This window comes from Homo sapiens, chromosome 2 (genome assembly GCF_000001405.40).
Source record: "Homo sapiens chromosome 2, GRCh38.p14 Primary Assembly".
Classification (NCBI taxonomy): Eukaryota; Metazoa; Chordata; class Mammalia; order Primates; family Hominidae; genus Homo; species Homo sapiens.
In genome coordinates, this window is record NC_000002.12 from 173155500 (window position 1) to 173175487 (window position 19988).

The window sequence follows — 19988 nt, forward strand, 5'->3', positions numbered from 1 at the left end:
AATGTTGAATGGAGAGTGAAAGAGGAAACTAACTGGAGATACTCAAAATGATTGCTTTCATCCTTTAGCTTTCAATAAATGTACAGATCATAACTACACCATGTTAACTGTTTCAGTACAGATCTGTCAGAAAAGCTTATCTGAAAGTACTGAGGGGCATAGAAAGGTAATTATTGGATTTTTTTCCATACTTAGAGATTGGTAGCATGGGGACTGGAACTTTAGGGTTTTGGCAAGTATGTTTTGGGATTATTTGACCAAGGAGTGCAAAATGTTGTTGTGGTACCCTAGCGACTCTTCCATTAAACGGAACCTTGATCTCTGATAGCTTGATAGATATGGCATTAATTATTAGCTGCTTACACAGTAATATTCTCCTCATCTTCCTTAGGATTCCTGTATTGTTAGATGTGCCACTATACCCAGCTTAAAACTACATTTCCCAGCCCTTCCTGAAAATAGAACTCATTTATGAGATATAGGCAGAACTTTCTAGATGAGATTGCTGAGAAAGCTCTCTAAAAGAAGCTGACCTAAGAGGACACCCTGGTGTACTTTCCTTCTTGCTGCCTGGAATGTAAATTTAACGGTTTGGAACTTCAGGGGTTACACTGGGACCACCACACAACCTCGAGGATGTAAGCCAGTGCTAAGGATGGTAGAATAATGAATTGTTGAGCTGCCATATTGGGATTCTTTCAGCCTTCGTGTTTTGAGACATTTTATTATTTCAAGACTGATTTGTTATAAAACTCTATCTTGTTTAAAGCACTGTTATTTTGGATCTCTGTTTCTTTTAGTAGAACCCCATTTATTAGAAAGGAATTGAGGGACTAGAAGCCTCAACCTGGTCAACCGAAGAGCTGATTTCATGGGAGTAAGCATAAGAGATTGAGGTCAGAGAAGGGTTTCTAAGTGAGGTGGCTGGGTAATGAAAGGGTCTAAGACAGCAGTCCCCAACCTTTTTGGCATCAGGGACTGGTTTTGTGGAAGACAGTTTTTCCACAGATAGGGCGGTGGTGGGGGATGGTTTCAGGATAAAACTGTTTCACCTCAGATCATCAGGCATTAGATTCTCATAAAGACCGTGCAACCTAGATCCCTTGAATGTGCAGTTTACAATAGGGTTTGTGCTCCTCTGAGAATCTAATGCTGCCTCTGATCTGACAGGAGGCGGAGCTCAGGCGGGAATGCTCGCTCGCCAGCTGCTCACCTCCTGCTGTGCGACCTGGTTCCTAACAGACCACTGTTGGTACCATTACCTAAGAGATGGTCATAAGGAGCTAAAGTAGAATGCTGGTGAAAGTTCCTGGCGTAGACAAAGTCAAGGAAATAGTATTTGTATGTACAGATGGGAAACCAAGAGGTAACCCTTTGATTAGGCCAGTGTTTCTTTGAGTTTTGGTTTCAGGGGCCATCAAGGATCTGTGAATCTATGGACACCTGGAATCTTCTTTTAAAGACTGCAATTTGAGATACACTATAAAATACAGTCAACCCTTGAACAATGCAGGGGTTAGGGGCACCAACCCCTGTGCAGGTGAAAATATGGGTGTCCCTTTTGACTCCTTTGTTAGCGAAAGGAAAGATGGTGGCTGGAGTGATGGTTATTAAGTATGAGACAGTTCATTCAAATGGAGGCGATCTGTTCATCAAGCCATTAGGGGAGAAGTGATCTTTTGCCTTTAAGAGTGGAGTTGCCTTAAAGTGGGATTGTAGTTGAGGACTAGAAAGAAAAAGACTGAAAGACTTCAAATCCCTTCCATTCTTAATATTCTATGATTCCAGATTATCTTTACTATGTATTAGTTAGGGTTTGGTACCTTTTTTTTTTTTTTGCAATTAATAAAACTAAAACTATCTGCCAGCTATCACCCATATGCCTTTAGTTACTGTTTGTGCTGACAGAACCCCAAAACAGTAAAATCATTAATGTAGCTGAAGAATCCAAGTGTTCAAGACACTGTCTAATTGGAGTCTAAAAGATGTTAAAGGACTTTCAGACTCTTTTAAAATTAAATTTGCTAAATTCTTTTAAATGATTTTGTAGATTTCCATAATAAATATGGCAAACATTTCTCTTATGGGATGTAAATAATCAAACTCTGTTTCACTGGAGAGTAATATTATAAAGCACTTAGCTAATCAGATTGTGAGAGTTGCTCAAAATTTCTAACCATGTAATTTTTGCATAGAGAGAGTGCCTCCTGCTGTGCAATTAACTGGTTTTATTAGCTATAAAATTGGTTGATGCTGGTTGGCCTGATGGCCTAGTGCCTGTAGGGAGTTAGATCTTGGTTCTTGACCTGATTCTGCACAGTTGAGTGTCAGGAAGACTTGGAAATCTTATAGTGGGGACAGCAGCTCAGGCCCTAAGAGGAAGCTGATGAGTTGTTTCTCACGCTTCTGTGACTAAAGGGAGCTTTGGAACTTTCTAGACCAGTTAATTTTTCCTTGTTCGTTTTATTCTGTATTCAAATTAGGTTTGTGAAGTGGAGTGGTATGGTTTACTGATGATAAGCAGGGCTTTGAGATCATACTACTTGTACTAAAAACCTGGCTTTGCCATTTCTTGTACCCTCGGGCAAGTTTTAAAGTTTCTCCTTGCCTAGGTTTCTTCCCCTGTGAAAGGGTGATTAATAGTAAGCCCTAACTCATGTTTGCTGTGAGAATGTAAGGGTTCAATCTACAGGAAGTTTTTGGCCTAGCTCACAGTAGGTACTCAATACATGTTAGCTAGTATTATAGAGTCTGCAAGTTGAAATCTCTTTGAGCAGGGGAAAGCTTTAATAAAAAATGTTTAGAAGGACCTATGATTTTACTGGACTTTTTTTAAAGGGAGAAAGGGGGAGGAGAATATATAAAAAGAGGCAGAGGCAGGTGACCTGGCATCAGACTTTATTACATTTACTAGGCAAGTAAGCTTGAGAAAATCAAATCAAAGACCCAATTTTCTCAACACTTAAATACAATACAATATCTCATTTTTGAGAGTCAAGTAAGATAAATGCTTTGGAAATGTCAAAGTGCTATATTTAGGTAAAAACATAAGTAAACAAGGACAGTCGAATATAATAACTACATGAGGCTAATTAAAACAAGCAAAATATGTAAATGGAATCCATTGATGGAAGACATAGGAATTTACTCATAAGCTTGACTTGCTTCTGAATGATCATTGATTATAAAGGAAGGAGAAAGATGTCAGAGAAAGGACTTAGCATTGGTGGAGCAACCTGGCATTTGCTGGGCACTGGAGTAGGATTACTGTCTGCCTTTTACAGATGAGAAAACTGAGTCTCAGGTTAAATAACTTCCTCAAAGTCACCTCACTGGTAAGTGGCAGAGCCAACGTTGTAATGAAGCCTATGTGACTCCAGAGGCTGTCCTAATACAACATGGTTAATTACCTCCAATCCATTTGTCACATATTTATTGAGCACCTACTCTGTGTGCTGTTAATAATACATTAATTTTTTCACAAAAATGGATAGAAATGTAAAGCATGAAGGGATCTGAATGACAATTTTGTGCAATCAAGTCATTTTGTAGGAAGGAAAAAAGGCCCAGAGTGACCAGGTCGCTTTAGGGCCATCCATTTTGGAACAGAATTAAATTTTTACTCACCTAGTCCAATGTTTGATTAAGTTATATTGCTATTCAATTTCGTAGATGCCTAATCCTTCATTAGTTCCAATTTGAAGCCTTGTTTGGGGATTTTCTTTGGGGATAATTTCCGTATGATTGCTTCGACCAAGTTGCATAAGTTGTTTGACAGAAAGCCGACTGAATTCTTGTCTGTGTTTTTGTCACCCAAACTGAGTACGGGTTGTTTCAATGTATTTTACTCTTTCTTTCTTTCCTTTCCTTCCTTTCCTTTTCTTTTCTTTCCTTCCTTCCTTCTTTTTTTTTTTTCCTGGATCTTTGTTGCCCAGGCTGGAGTGCAGTGGCACGGTCTCAGCTCACTGCAGCCTGGACCTCCTAGGTGCAAGTGATCCTCCCACCTCAGTCTCCTGAGTAGCTGGGACTACAGGCACATGCCACTACGCCTGGCTAATTTCTGCATTTTTTGTAGAGATAGGGTCTCACTATGTTGCCCAGACTGGTCTTGAACTCCTGAGCTCAAGTTATCTGCCTGCCTTGGCCTCCCAAAGTGCTGGGACTGCAGAGGTGAGCCACCACACCTGGCCTTACTTTTTCATGTTATCAGTGACATTCTGGTGTGAACACCAAGAATGTAAAATCTCTTTGCCTTTTTGTGATTTGGAAATAGCTCTTGAATCCCTGGTCTTAAATCTTCACTCTGTTTCATCCAGTTTTTGCCACCCTCCTATCCTGCCAGGTGAGTCTGCCCTTAGTTGGGTATGTACTTAACTAGAGAGCAGCTCTAGATCCCTGGAGGGAAGCCCAGGCTCCTCCCAAGTGACTGCACACAGTGAGTCGGCTGCATCACACCAGGAATACCATTGAGCAATAGGAGACTTCCCAGCACTGGTGACTCCATCTCAGTTGCTTAAGAAGAGTGGGGAAATGACTGGTGTATTTTTTTTTTCATAGCATTTGTAACTGTTTTTCTTCCAAAGAAAAGTCTTCATGATGTCAAACATCATTCAGAATATAGGATGTATTCTATTATGGGTTTGAATTCAGTTCATTTATCCTTCTTTATTGCCCTGAATACTAAAGAGCATCATTTGAAAAAGAACCTATGGAATTGTGAAGTTTGCTGCTTTTTATGTGACTGTGACTGAATGGGTCTTGTTAAGCCCAAAGTGACTCAAAGGGCATGACCTGTGTATAACTCTCTGGTGATTATATACAGGATTGAAAATCCTCCAAGCCTGCTTTTAAAGTTGTAGCACAGCAGTTTTAGACATAGAAAGGCTGGTTTTCCATCTTGTCATACAGGTAAGAATGAAGTTTTTTATTTTTATTTAAAAAAAGCCCTGGTTATGATACTCTTGGGGTAAAAATGCACTGAATTAAGCAGCATTTTGTTTTGTTTTTGACTCAGTCAAGATCCTGGGATCATGAACCTTTTATACTTTTGATAACTGAGATTGAAAACTCTCCTTCGTTTTCTTTATAATCAGAGCCTGAAACAATTAGCAGGCAAGGGAAGTTCTCCCTACATCTTTCCTGAAAGATCTAGCTGTTTTGACGTTATAGATTTGTAAATACTGTTTTAGGAGTTTCTAAATCAATAATTTCTCCTTGCGTTCACATTCTGCTGCCAAGTACAATAGTTCTGGACTCTGTAGTGATAAAGATAAGAGGTATGCTGCACTGAGGAGACCCTGGTTCTTTTGTTGTGGATATTTATGATACTGGCCCTGGCCTAGGAATGGAGCTTGTGTGCAATGTGGCCCCACTACTGAGTACCAGGGGTCCATCTGTCAGCACACAGCAAAGAAGCACCTACCGTAGCTTTCAGGTCGAATAATGGGTATTGAATGTGGACTTGGCAAAAGGCTGGCTCATCTGTAGAGGTGACTTTGGAAATACATGGCAAAATGTATTGGGTAGAAAATTGGAAATAGAGGGTTTAAGGTTAAGTAAGCCTTTCATCCTTGCTTAATCCTAAAACCCTACATTTAAGTACACGGCAAAGAAAACGTACAATGCAAAGGCAAGGGCATGCTTGAAGAATGCAAAGCAGCAAAGGATTCTCAAGAAATTGTGCTCATGTAATTGCCTTGGGCAACAGTGCCTACAAAGAGGCAAAGTGCAGCTGTCCAAATCCTCATTCTTGAAGTTTAAATCCACAGTGAACTAGTGAACATAACTCTGAACTGTGCTTCCTACTGCAATTATATAATTGATTGACTGTTACTCTTATGAAATGTACCCTAAGTAACCCTTAAGCATGTAAAAGAGCAGAATGAATACTGAAGCAAATTCATACCTCCCGGCATTTTACTCTTCTCACTGTACGGTTCAGGGTTAACATTTGCTAACATAGGCTCTCCATAATTATTTAAACACACTGAATATCATTATCATCAAATACTGTTCATTCATCCTTTAAATGTTAGTGCTTCCTATATATAGGGTATCTGACTTTTCTCACTCATGTGGTATTATACTAGATATTTTATAAGAGGAGCAAAGTAGGAAAGGCTCTTCTAAAGGGTAGCAGACCATAGGAGCAGACACAAGAAGGGAGAGGAGCATTATGTAATAAAATGCTGAACCACATGCATACCGAGTAGGTTGAAGTCCATCTAGAGCCCACGTGATTTCCAGTATCCACATCTTTAGTCTCATAGCTTCTCAGAACCTATGGCCTTCTGTAAGAGTAACCTGAATGAACGCTGGTTTGTTCCAGAGCCGTATCGGGAGAAAATCACAGGTCAGTGGTTAACTAAATGAGTTTTTATATGCCTACCGTAGTCCTGGGAAGGTAAGGAAAGAGCTTCACTTTTTCCTGACCCAATCCTAGGGAGAATCTTTCCATGCAAATAAATATTTTAAATTTCGTAGTCATATGTTCTTATATATATTACATATAACATGCCTGTACTGCTTTTTCTGATTATAAAAATTACATAGACTTATTGTAAAGAATTTGGGAAACAAAAAAAATTACGATCCCTATTCTTTCTGCCACTTAGAAATAGATGACCACAATAATGTTTTCTTTCTTCCTTGCCTTTTTTCTATACACATAATTTTTATTTTTCAAAAATGTAGGATCATCTCCTATATTCTTGAACTTTGGGGGAATATAGTGACCCTGGATCATATTGGCATTTTGGAGATGCAGTTTTTGGAGAGAGCCTTGGACCTTGGATGTAGAGTGCAGTGAAGAGATGGCTTCAGCTGAGTGACTGGATGAACCACTCTTCTTTCTCTTACTGCCACACTCTGATGAAATGATAGACTCCTACAATTGTTGAGGACCGGCTGGGCATGGTGGCTCACACCTGTAATCCCAGCACTTTTGGAGGCTGAGGCGGGCGGCTCACCTGAGGTCAGGAGTTTGAGACCAGCCTGGCCAGCATGGTGAAACCTCATCTGTACTAAAAATACAAAAATTAGCCAGGTGTGGTGGTAGGCGCCTGTAATCCCAGCTACTCAGGAGGCTGAGGCAGGAGAATCGCTTGAACCCAGGAGGCGGAGGTTGCAGTGAGTCAAGATTGCGCCATTGCACTCCAGCCTGGGCGACAAGAATGAAACTCCGTCTCCAAAAAAAAAAAAAAAAAAATTGGTGAGGACCTTAGAGATCAGGGTCCGTGGAGTAGTTATATGCTTAAATACCACACACACTAGAGGACTTGAAGGAGTAATTGACATTCATGGGCAAAAGAAGTGTACCTTGTGTCAGTGCCACATCACATGCAGAAGCATGGACCCCGCTGAGACACAATCTTGCTGCTAGGTGGAGGGAAGTAGCTGTTGACAATCAGAGAGAAAAGCCTGTTCTGAGTATAAGATGTAAGTGGAACCTGCCAGCCTTATGATGTGGGGCTTCATAAACGATTGCTTTCATTCTATACCCATCAACAGGTTGTTGTTGGTATCTTTGCTTTCTTTCACAAAAATAAGTGAACTCAATTTTATTTTTACAATATTTATCACAAATACATATAGAGTACATAAATGGAATACAAAAGGTGTAAAACAAGCTTTTTAACTTTTAGGTTTAGGGGTACGTGTGCAGGTTTGTAACATGGGTAAATTGTGTGTCATGGGCAGTTAGTTGTACAGATTATTTTATCACCCAGGTAATAAGCATAGTACCCTATAGGTAGTTTTTCAATCCTCACCCTCCTCCCACCCTCCACCTTCAAGTAGATCCCTGTGTCTATTGTTTCCTACTTTGTGTCCATGTGTACTTAGTGTTTAGCTCCTACTTTTAAGTGAGAATATGTTGTATCTGGTTTTCTGTTCCTGCCTTTGCTCACTTAGGATAATGGCCTCCAGCTCCATCCATGTTTCTGCAAAGGACATAATCTTGTTCTTTTTTATGGCTGCATAATATTCCTAGCTCCATCCATGTTACTGCAAATGACACAATCTTGTTCTTTTTTATGGCTGCATGGTATTCCTAGCTCCATCCATGTTTCTGCAAAGGACATGATCTTGTTCTTTTTTATGGCTGCATAGTATTCCATGGTATGTATGTACCACATTTTCTTTATCCAGTCTACCTTTGATGGGCATTTAGGTTGATTCCATGTCTTTGCTATTGTGAATAGTGCTGGGACGAACATGTGTCTTTATGGTAGAATGATTTATATTCCCTTGGGTTTCCCCCATTATATTCCATTACCCAGTAATGGAATGTAAGTATGGAATATAAGTAATAGAATTGCTGGATTGAATGCTAGTTCTGTTTTAAGTTCTTTGAGAAATCTCCAAACTGCCTTTCATAATGGCTAAACTAATTTACATTCCCACCAGCAGTGTATGAGCATTCCCTTTTCTGTACAACTTTACCAGCATCTGTTATTTCTTGACTTTTTTTTTTTTTTCTGAGACGGAGTCTAGCTCTGTCGCGAGGCTGGAGTGCAGTGGTGCAATCTCGGCTCACTGCAACCTCCGCCTCCCAGGTTTAAACGATTCTCCTGCCTCAGCCTCTGGAGTAGCTGGGATTACAGGTGTGTGCCACCATGCCCAGCTAATTGTTGTATTTTTAGCAGAAACAGGTTTTCACCATGTTGGCCAGGCTGGTCTCCAACTCCTGCCCTTGTGATCTGCCCGCCTCGGCCTCCCAAAGTGCTGGGATTTTTTAATAATAGCCATTCTAACTGGTGTGAGATGGTATCTCATTGTGGTTTTGATTTCCATTTCTCTAATGATTAGAGATGTTGGGCATTTTTCCATATGCTTGTTGGCCGCATGTATGTCTTCTTTTGAAAAGTGTCTATGCATGTTCTTTGCCTACTTTTTAATGGGGTTGTTTTTTGCTTGTAAACTTTTTTAAGTTCCTTATAGATTCTGGACATTAGACCTGTGTGAGATGCATAGTTTGCAAATATTTTCTCCCATTCTGTAGACTGTTTACTCTGTTGACAGTTTCTTTTGCTGTGCACAAGCTCTTCAGTTTAATTAGTCCCATTTGTCGATGTTTGCAAAACAAGCTTTAAAGACACAGAATCTTTTAAGGAGTCTATGGCAGCTCTCCAAAATTAAATAAACAAAATAAAATTTGGGATTAGGTTGAAAAAAAGTTTTGAATTGAAGGAAAAGAGTCCTTCTGAAGATGGAGATATTTTTTAACTGTTGGAAATACTTCAAAGGAAGATAATTAAAACTATGATATTTAACTTCTTTTAATATCTCTGAATCAGTCGTTTGGAACCTGTGTGTTAGTCGATGTCTGGAAACATGGCAAACTGAGCTAATGGCTCGTTTTCCCCTGTAAACTTATAGAAATGCCGATAAAACAAACAACAAAATACTCACGACCTCCCAGGTTAATCAACAAACTAAAACTTCTGTAATTTTTCTGATAAAGGAAAGAGGAAAGGAGAAAGGAACTGGCCCCAGCTGGAAACAATAAGAGCAGGCAAACAATAATCTGTAGAGACATTTTGGTACCCTAATAGGACATGACTATTAGACATTTTTATGAATAGACCTTGATTCCTCCGTTTATATCTCAGATTGGGGCCCTTTATTTTATGGAGAATCTTAGAGCCTGAGTTAAAATTGGCACTTTGGGAGGCCAAGGCAGGTGGATCATCTGAGATCAGGAGTTCGAGACCAGCCTGGCCAACATGGTGAAACCCTGTCTCTACTGAAAAAAAAAAAATACAAAAATTAGCTGGGTGTAGTGGTGCGTGCCTGTAATTCCAGGTACTCAGGAGGCTGAGGCAGGAGAATTGCTTGAACCTGGGATGCAGATGTTGCAGTGAGTGGAGATTGCACCACTGTACTCCAGCCTGGGCGACAGAGTGAGACTCTGTCTAAAAATGTATATATATTGTTGCAGTCTGTCCCAGTCTTTTCTTAGATCCTCCAAGTCCTAGTTTGGAAAATTACATGTTTATCTTATGGATACTTAGACCGTAGTTTGTATAACTTTAAGATGACTATTGAATACATAGACTCTGATCACTCATCTCTGCAAAAATTTAGAATACCATTTTTTAAACTTTTGTATTGTGGTAAAATATGCATAGCATAAAATTTGCTATTTCAGCGTAATTAAGTGTATAATTCAGTGGATTTATTTGTTTATTTAGACAGGGTCTCACTCTGTTGCCCAGGCTGGAATGCAGTGGCACAGTCACAACTCACTGCAGCTTTGACCTCCTGGGCTCAAGCCATCCTACTGCCTCAGCCTCCTGAGTAGCTGGGACCACAGGCATGTGCCAGAACACCTGGCTAATTTTTTATTTTTAGTAGAGACAAGGTCTCACTATGTTGCCCAAGCTGATCTCAAACTCCTGAGTTCAAGTGCTTCTCTTCTCCTGCCTCAGCCTCCCAAAATGCTAGGATTACAGGCATGAGTCCCCGTGCCTGGCCAGTGGCATTTATTATAGTCACAGTGTTGTGCACCCATCACCACTGTCTGTTTACAAAAATTTTCATCACCCCAAACAGAAACGCTGTACCCATTAAGCAATAACTCCTCATTTTCTCCTCCCATCAGCCCCTGGTTACAACCTCTAATCTGCTTTCTTTATTGCTGAATGTGTCTGTTCAAGATAGTTCATATAAGTAGAATCATACAGTATCTGCCCTTTTGTGCCTGGCATATTTTACTTAGCGTAATATTTTCAAGGCCCATTCATGATGCAGTGCATATCCAAACTTAATTCCTATTTACAGCAGAAATAATGTTTCATTGTTTTTATATATAGCCTCACATTTTATCTGTCAGTTGATAAACACTTTGGTTGTTTTTACCTTTTGTTTATTGTGAATAATGCTGCTTTGGACATTGGGTCCAAGTATCTGTTTGACTCCCTAGAAAAGCATTTTGCACACTGAGAAATGTGTAGATCTTTTATATAGAAAATTTTAGTCTTCCAGATTTCACATGTTGACTGAAATTATTTCTGTGTAACTTAAATATACATAAACATAAAACTAAGAATTAACTCCTTATAACTCTCATATACAGGTAAATTCAAAACCAATTTTTCAATTAAACAAAAATAAAATCAATACAGTTTAAATTAACGATTGTTATCCAATTATATTTACTGAAAATAAATGGCTTATGTTGGTTTTAATAGTGTAAAAAGATATACTTTTGTATGATGGACCATTATTTTAGCTTTCATCATTTTCATGTTTTCCTTTTAACAGTGAACACGTTTTTAAACCACTAATCCATTATTTTGATGCGCAGCTCATTTGCTAGATTATCCCAGAATATAAATCTGGAAAACAAAGGAAAAACAGCAATTCAGTGACAAATTATTTACTACACATTTATTGCAACAGTTTTTCTGTTTTTTTTTTTTTTTTTTTTGAGACGGAGTCTCGCTCTTTCGCCCAGGCTGGACTGCAGTGGCGCTATCTTGGCTCACTGCAAGCTCCGCCTCCCGGGTTCACGCCATTCTCCTGCCTCAACCTCCCGAGTAGCTGGGACTACAGGCGCCCGCTACCACGCCCGGCTAATTTTTTTTTGTATTTTTAGTAGAGACGGGGTTTCACCATATTAGCCAGGATGGTCTCGACCTCCTGACCTCGTGATCCACCCGCCTCGGCCTCCCAAAGTGCTGGGATTACAGGCGTGAGCCACTGCGCCCGGCCAACAGTTTTTTTTTTAATGAGCTCTTGCAAGCAGGTGCCTATAAAGGCAAAATCCAGAGAGTATATCTGCTTGCTGTCAGAGGGTGATTGCAACAACACAGGTTTTAATAATTTGGTTAACCTCACACTTGTTTTTATTGGAGCTTATTTGAATTGCTGACATCATGATGTCATTTGACCTTCATTTATTACAAACATATCACTTACTTATTCAGTCTGCCTCTGTTTACTGTTGGCCCATTTCCATGAAATCAGTACAGCACTCTAAAATAACATGTTGTTTTTATTATGTTAAATCAGATTCTTAGTTTATTATATAAGAACCTAAAATCTTATTTCATGAAAATGTCATTTACTTGGAAATAAAACTGCAAATTTTTTTGCAAAAAATATGAGCACAACAAGGGGATAGAGGATAATGATTGTTATTTTGACATTAGCATTTGCCAGCCTAACAGCTGTTAGACATGCTTACCGGCACCTGAAATGATCAATCCTATCTCCTCAAGATATCACTTGGCAATATCTTAAATATAAACATGGAAACTAGCTGGCACACTGAAAATCCCATCATGCTGCATTGTAAAGTGGTCATCCAAGGACTCAGAATATACTTGTATTTATTCTTTATTGATAGAAAAATCTTTAATGATCACAAAATTCAGGTGCCCCAAAGAATATTCCGAAGGATAACACTGCCTCAGTTTGACAAATACTGGTTCAAACATTAACTCTATTGCTTTACTCACATTGAACTTTAATGCTTTATTCACAAACAGTTGGTCCTACCACTTAAAATGGGGGCTTTGTGATTTCCAAACTGCACATACATTCTATTTTTACAAAAAACTTTATTTATTATTTCTAATAATAATAAATAAACTTTATTTCTAATAATAATAAATAAACTTTATTATTATTTATTATTATAGTAAGAAGTAGGGTTGCCATGTGGATGAATAGTTGTGTTGCACAAATAATACATCTTCTTCCTAGTTGAGAAACTAAACTATGAGAAGAAGGTTGCTTGATGAACACAGACCCCTCTATACACACGAGGCACTCAATAAGTATTAAGGAATTGTTTGATTAAGCAGCGATAGCCCCCTTTGACACATGTATTACTATAAGAAAACACTGTCAAATCAAGCTTGATAAGCGTCTCATGCAATCAATGATATTCTTTATCTCAATTTCATATTGACCCTATGCCGACCCTCAAACTTGTTTTCCACCTAGTTACACCACCTTCAAAACCAGTTTCGCAGCTGTTTTTAATGAAATCCCAACTCTTATCCTATGAAAAAAACTGATTAGCAAATAACACTAATTCATAGTGTACACATTCCCAAAGGGGAGTCCCTTTCTGACCAAAGTGTCTCCATTTTCATTAACTGCTGACATTCTTCTTGATGATCCTCTTTCTGGGGTGGGGACTTATAAATCTCCAGTCTACTTACTGCCAGTAATATGCCTTTCATTGAAAAATACTGAATATTTTCTATATTTAACTTACGTGATTTTATACCTCATATTTATAATTCTTGATTAGCCATATTTTATCTCCATAAAAGTCATAAAATATTGATGAATATAAGATTTATGTAGAGATCATCTTTCTATTGACATTAGCAGATATATATTATAGTATCTGGTTTTTTTGTTTTAAAAATTAAGTTTAATAAATACAACTTATTTTTACCATGTCACTCTTCAGTACCACTTTCTAATATTTAACACGTTTCAAAATGTATAAATACGGCCTCCTATCGAATCACCACTGAAGGTCAAGAATCTACCTTTATATGTTTATAGTACCTTGCATACAGAAGGAGAACAATAATATATTTTGCATAAATGATTAGATAAATAAGTGGGTATTACCTGAATACCCACTTATTATTGACTCATCTAACCAACAGAAGTTCAGTCTGGCTGTAGCCTCTCAGAACAGACATTTTGCAAAATATATATATTGGACTATTAGGAAGAGGACCTTCACTGTAAATAAATGGGGTATCTCTTCAGTCATTCTCCTCCATTATCAGTCAGGTGGGCTTGCTAGCAAGCGCCTCTTTTATCGCTTCTTCAACCCCATTTTCTTTTTAAATTTTCAGAAAGCTTCAGTAGAAATGTTTCAACTTTCAAGAAAGACAGCTTTAGCAGAATCACATATTTGTTGGGCACATATATACCTTTGTAAATGTACATAGAAGAAAACTAAGGCCGGGCATGGTAGCTCACACCTGTAATCCCAGCACTTTCGGAGGCCAAGGTGGGAGGATTGCTTGAGCCCAAGAGTTCGAGATCAGCCTGGACAACATAGACCCCATCTCTTAAAAAAAAAAAAAATTAATTAGCTGAGTGTAGTGGTGTGTGCCTGTAGTCCCAGCTACTTGGGAGGCTGAGGCAGGAGAATTACTTGAGCCCAGGAGGCCAAGGCTGCAGTGAGCCAAGATCACACCACTGTACTCTAGCCTGGACAACACAGCAAGACCCTAACTCAAAAAAAAATGAGTAGGAAGCCTGTTTTATTTGACTATTATAAATGTGAAATGTTATGCAACTTTGCATTTTATTTTTTGTACAGGCAGAAATACTCAGTGTCCTCAGTCACAGAAACATCATCCAGTTTTATGGAGTAATTCTTGAACCTCCCAACTATGGCATTGTCACAGGTAAGAATTCAGTGTTTGACTTCTTTCTTTTTCCAATTACCTAGCTTTAGATTCCTTAATATGCTAAAATGCTTAATATTAGGCTCAGTTATGAATTGTGTGTTACTGTCAGATGTCACTTTTGTTGCTATAAAGCATTAATAAAACTGATTATATCAATATAATTAAGAATAGTGTTTCCACTTCTACCCATGTTTAATTGTGCTAATTATATCTGCGTAAATGCTATTTAAATGCACTCGCAGCTGCAATACCAATATTTCAAGGTGCCGTTTAACTAAAATTTCATTTAATTAGCTGAAATGAAACATGTTTTTTGTAACTCTGTGACCTTTTATAAATTAAGATTTCTTGAGCTATTCATGTTGTAATTCTTTGCAAGGCATTTTAATCCCATTAGAGCATTCTTTCTTCAAGGTCTCTGACATAAGAACAATATTTTTCAGGTTTGGTCAACTAAGTTGGTAATGACCTTGATCTAAATTATCACATAATTTGGAGCAGCAGTTTATAACTGACAGAAATACGCTTTCTAAAAAGCAGCACATAGAAAGTTTTGCCACATGAAAATACAGAAAGACACATATCTTCAATACTTTATGCTCATATTTGTATAATCCACTGAATAGCTTGTAGGTCTATAATCGGTTTTACAACAAATAACTTTGATCTTTATCTTGGCAAATCTTTGATTAAAACAAAGTCAAACAAGAAAACCTTTAAGTATTAGCCACATGTTCTCGGTAGAGGTGAGAACCTGGATTGTCTTTATAGAAAATAACAACAAAACACCCTCAATAAAAAGGATTGTATTAAGTACTTTCTATAAATTATCTCATCTAATACTTAGAGTAATCCTATGAGATCGATAAAATAATTCCTATTTTACTAGTAAGAAACTACATCTCTAACTTAAGCAACTTTTCCATGGTCACCTAGCTAGTGGTAGAACCAAAGCGGTATAAATTTCTCAGGCTGATTCTCCACAGAAGCTCCTCTTCTATGCAAGCTAGGTTCTGGAAGGCTGTGAGCTGACTGGTTCTTAAACTCAGAGAGACATGGTTACTGTTATACCATCTTCTGGCGGCAGGTAGTTTAACATGCTTTTACTCTTAGTAGCATTTTAACCTAAGTTATTAAGTGGAGGGACTTTTATCCCCAATTCACTGTCTTTAGATTTGTGACTGAAATGGGGCATGTAGCAACTTTTATCTTGAGTCTATATTTCTTATAAATGTGAATACCCAAGAATGGGTTATATTGTTGGTTGAGGGGGAACCATACCTCACATTTTAAGTCAGATTTCTGATTTAAAGTTAAACCTTTCTCTGACCCATATACCATGTGGCTCCTTTTTTCCGTGTCCATTGTATCTACTTCTTTTTACTAGTTATATTTACTTTTTAAATCTGAATCCAGTGTTCTGATCCTCGTTTGTGGCTGATGTTATTCCTCCCTAAGAAAGTGTGACACTCCCAAGAGACTAGAAACTCTGTTTCTTATTATATACTCTTGATGTTTAATGCTTTTTGAAAATATTTTTGGCCAACTAATGAGCTATTCATGAAGTTTTCTAGTTTCTTGAGGTGAGGGTGAAGGATAGAAAAGGGAACTTGAGTGGTGATATGAAATTCTTTCTCCAAGAGTTTACTCTCAGTAGGAAGATATCAAACATTCTTAGCCAGCATATTTCCCCTAGGTCATCTCATCTGAAAGAGGGAGAAAGAATCCAGGAAGTTTTCTTCCATTCAGTATTTGTATCAGACTAGTCAATCCTTTATTTCATTCATCCCTTTAGCATTCTCTACTCATACTTGCACCTACCCAAATTCTTCAGTTAAATTGATTAGTTTTTTATGGATCTATATCTCTTTCCCTGTAGAGCCAGTAAGTAAGCAACTGGCTTTACATTGTTTAGTTAACATTAAACCTAAAGAATTAAAACAACACAAGTTTCAGATTATGAGGCAGTAGTAGATTGTATATTTATAGCTCTCTTATTGACCTATGAGATTGATTATTAAAGAGACCTGTTAGGTGAGTTTTAATGTTTTGAATGTATTGATTTGATATGATTATCTTTGTTCCTAGAGATGTTAGTTTTAATTAACTAAGTGCTTGTTTATGTGAGCCTTTCAGCCTACCTTGTACAGCTATGCTCTGTGCATGGGTAGTAGAAAATATGACAACTGAGTCCAGTTTGGGAGTGAAGAAATCACATGGATTAGTGATGACGACACTTACTCTGCCACTGGAAATGAGCACAAATAAGTCTTAGTATGAGGCAGTTAAGAGAGAAACAAAGATAGGTGGGAAAACTGACCTTGATCACCCAGCCCCAGCCAGATACCCCTCTGTGAACCTTATCATATTTATCAAATAGTGGAGGCTCTGAAGGAGGAAGCTTGGATGGCTTGAATCCATTCAATTTGAGGTAGTTTTTTTTTTTTTAATAGAAAAGGTTGTTGCAGCAGGCAGCTGTTGTCATTCATGCTGAGAACTTGAAAGAATGATTTATTAGAGTGGTGGAATGGAATGAGCAATGGAATGGGAATTGTGAGATGTGAGATCTTGTCTTGATTCTGCCAGAGCTTCATAGATGGGTCACTGATGATCTCTCTCTGTCTCAGTTTTCTCATGTGAATGAAGGGACTACAATACATGATCTCTGGGTGTGTATGTGTGTGTATACTTGTGCATGTGTGTTTGCTGAAACTTTTTTATCACAGACATATAAAACCTGCTTATCAGGGGAGCCAGGGAAGAGACTAAGAGGTAGCTGCCAATTTATTTCCCTTGGAAGGGAAATGAACATCTTTCTCCCAGATCTACAAAGAAATGGGGTGACAAGAAACTCAGAGTCCAAAGCCGAAAGAAAAGATACAATAATGGATCATCTTTTCTTTTCTTTTCTTTTTTTTTTTTGAGACGGAGTCTTGCTGTGTCGCCAGGCTGAGTGCAGTGGTGCAACCTAGGCTCACTGCAACCTCCACCTCCTGAGTTCAAGCAATTCTCTTGCCTCAGCCTCCTGAATAGCTGGGACTACAGGCGTGCGCCACCATGCCCAGCTAATTTTTGTATTTTTAGTAGAGACGGGGTTTCACCATGTTGGGCAGGATAGTCTCTTGACCTCATGATCCGCCTGCCTCAGCCTCCCAAAGGGCTGGGATTACAGGTGTGAGCCACCGCGCCCAGCCTGGATCATCTTTTCTTTGATCTTTGGAAACCTCTTCATTCTGTACTACTCCCATTCTTTTATTTCTGTGTGTGTGTGTGTGTGTGTGTGTGTGTGTGTGTGTGTGTGTCTGTGTAAAACATAAATATGTGAGGGCAGGGGGAGCTCCTGGGAGATGAAGGAAGGAGTTGCTGGATACCAGACCATGTAGCTCTTTTGTAGCAAGCCAGATTGGAGAGGAACCCACACCCAAAGTATCTGGTAATCTAAGAGTAAAGAAAGGGTGGCAGACTGGGTTCCAGGGTTCTGGTGAGAAGTGATTTAGGATCCCAGATGCCTGGAAATTGCTTTGTTCTCAGGGGCTGATCTCTTAAGTTACCTGTTCTGCGTTAGCCTCTATTACTCGTCTAAGAGAGGAGACTAGTTCTGCATGATTTCTCAGCAGGCCCAAATTCTCATTAAACCCAGCCAAGGAAAACATACTAATTTTTAAGTGCCCAATCTCATTTCCCTTAACTTGATCTTGATTTATTTTAAGCACAGATACATCTAATTTGCATGTTTTGATATTGTGCTAGTCTTTTTTTATTAGTCAATTAGAGACAAGTGTCACATTTTGTTATAACACATTTCAGACATTTGCGTAAATTTATTCTATTAGTTATAATTTAAATGAAGCTTGGTCTTGGTGACATTTTATTACAAAGAGATTTCGTGGTAATGGTATTTGTTTCAACAATTCAACAATACTGATACTATGTTTACATTTTTCAAAGCCAGCTATTATCACCGTAAAACTCAAAGGGAAGAATCATCTTATAAATGAAAAGGAAATTTTTGCTTAATGTGGTTCTTAATGACTTCAAAAAAAATGAAACAAATACTTTATACTAAAATCCAGTAAACTACTTTCTACAGAGAAGTGGTTTGAAAAGCATGTAACTATATGTGTATATAGTGAGTCCACAATTTCCAATGGGAAAACCAAAAGGATGAAAGAATTAAATGCTTATTTAAAATAGTTAATATGTTAGTTTAGCTATCCACGTACCTAAAGATGACATTTTATATGAAATAAAGGTAATAATATTGCCTTTCTTGCAACTTCAAAGTCATGAAACTATTTTATTTAATCATGTATCTTTTTTATTATACTTTAAATTCTGGGATACATGTGCAGAACGTGCAGGTTTGTTACATAGGTATACATGTGCCATGGTGGTTTGTTGCACCCATCAACCTGTCATCTACATTAGGTATTTTTCCTAATGCTCTCCCTCCCCTAGCATTAAATAAACGCCCCCGACAGGCCCTGGTGTGTGATGTTCCCCTCCCTGTGTCCATGTGTTCTCATTGTTCAACTCGCACTTATGAGTGAGAACATGTGGTGTTTGGTTTTCTGTTCCTGTGTTAGTTTGCTGAGAATGATGGTTTCAGTTTCATCCATGTCCCTGCAAAGGACATGAACTCATCCTTTTTTATGGCTGCATAGTATTCCATGTTGTATATGTGCCACATTTTCTTTATCCAGTCTATCATTGATGGGCATTTGGGTTGGTTCCAAGTCATTGTTATTGTGAATAGTGCCACAATAAACATATGTGTGTGTGTGTCTTTATAGTAGAATGATTTATAATCCTTTGGGTATATACCCAGTAATGGGATTGCTGGGTCAAATGGTATTCCATGTCTTCATCATCATTAGAATGACTTTTTAAAGTTAACATGGTTTTCGGAGTACAATGTCTTCACTGTAGTGTAAGATGTTTGAAATATCATGCTTTGGGGAAATCTCTGTATTATACTATCTCTGGATATTTATCTCAAGCTACAAGTACCCAATGGCATAACATTAGGATTGTTGAATATTTTAGTCCCATATGCTATATTTGTAGTCATAACTGACAGCTTTTCAAAGTGATCTTTAGAAGACTTGTTTTCAGTGACATCCCGCAGTTGGAATTGAGAGTTCATAGTTCCAGGAATAATTGCTCTGTGTTAAATTTTGTTGCCCCTCCCTACTTCCCTCCCTCTCTTTTGTCTTATTCATATAGGTGACCTTTATAAGCTTTGAAAAACTAGCTTTGATTGAGGTCATCTCAGACTTATATATTTTTCCCCAAACAGTATTTTGTTGTTCAAATAAATTAATGGAGAGAGCATCTTAAAATATGAGGGATTTTAGAAGTATCTGAATATAAGTTGACTCATTCTTTTCTTAGGTATAGTTTTACAGGACTGCAGTTGCCATCTTTATAATATCCACATGACTGTTCCAAGTGTAAACATATTTATCTTAAGAACTGTGTCATGCCTAAGAGCCATTCGTAGGTTGCCGCTTGTCTGTAAACTGGCCTACTTGTCCTTATGAATAATGAGGGCTGACTAAACTTGATTGAAACGTGAGGAACTTTGTGTTT

General features: G+C 38.2%; 1 protein-coding gene across 8 annotated transcripts in view; it reads left to right on the forward strand.

Annotated features, from left to right (window-relative positions):
- The window catches only part of MAP3K20 (mitogen-activated protein kinase kinase kinase 20), a 192499-nt gene that overhangs the window by 79983 nt on the left and 92528 nt on the right, over positions 1-19988 (forward strand). For all 8 annotated transcript variants that reach the window (XM_047444746.1, XM_017004324.2, NM_016653.3 and 5 more), the window contains exon 3: positions 14306-14393. In XM_047444746.1, coding sequence (XP_047300702.1) covers positions 14306-14393 — 88 coding nt within the window. The remainder of the gene's footprint in view (positions 1-14305; positions 14394-19988) is intronic.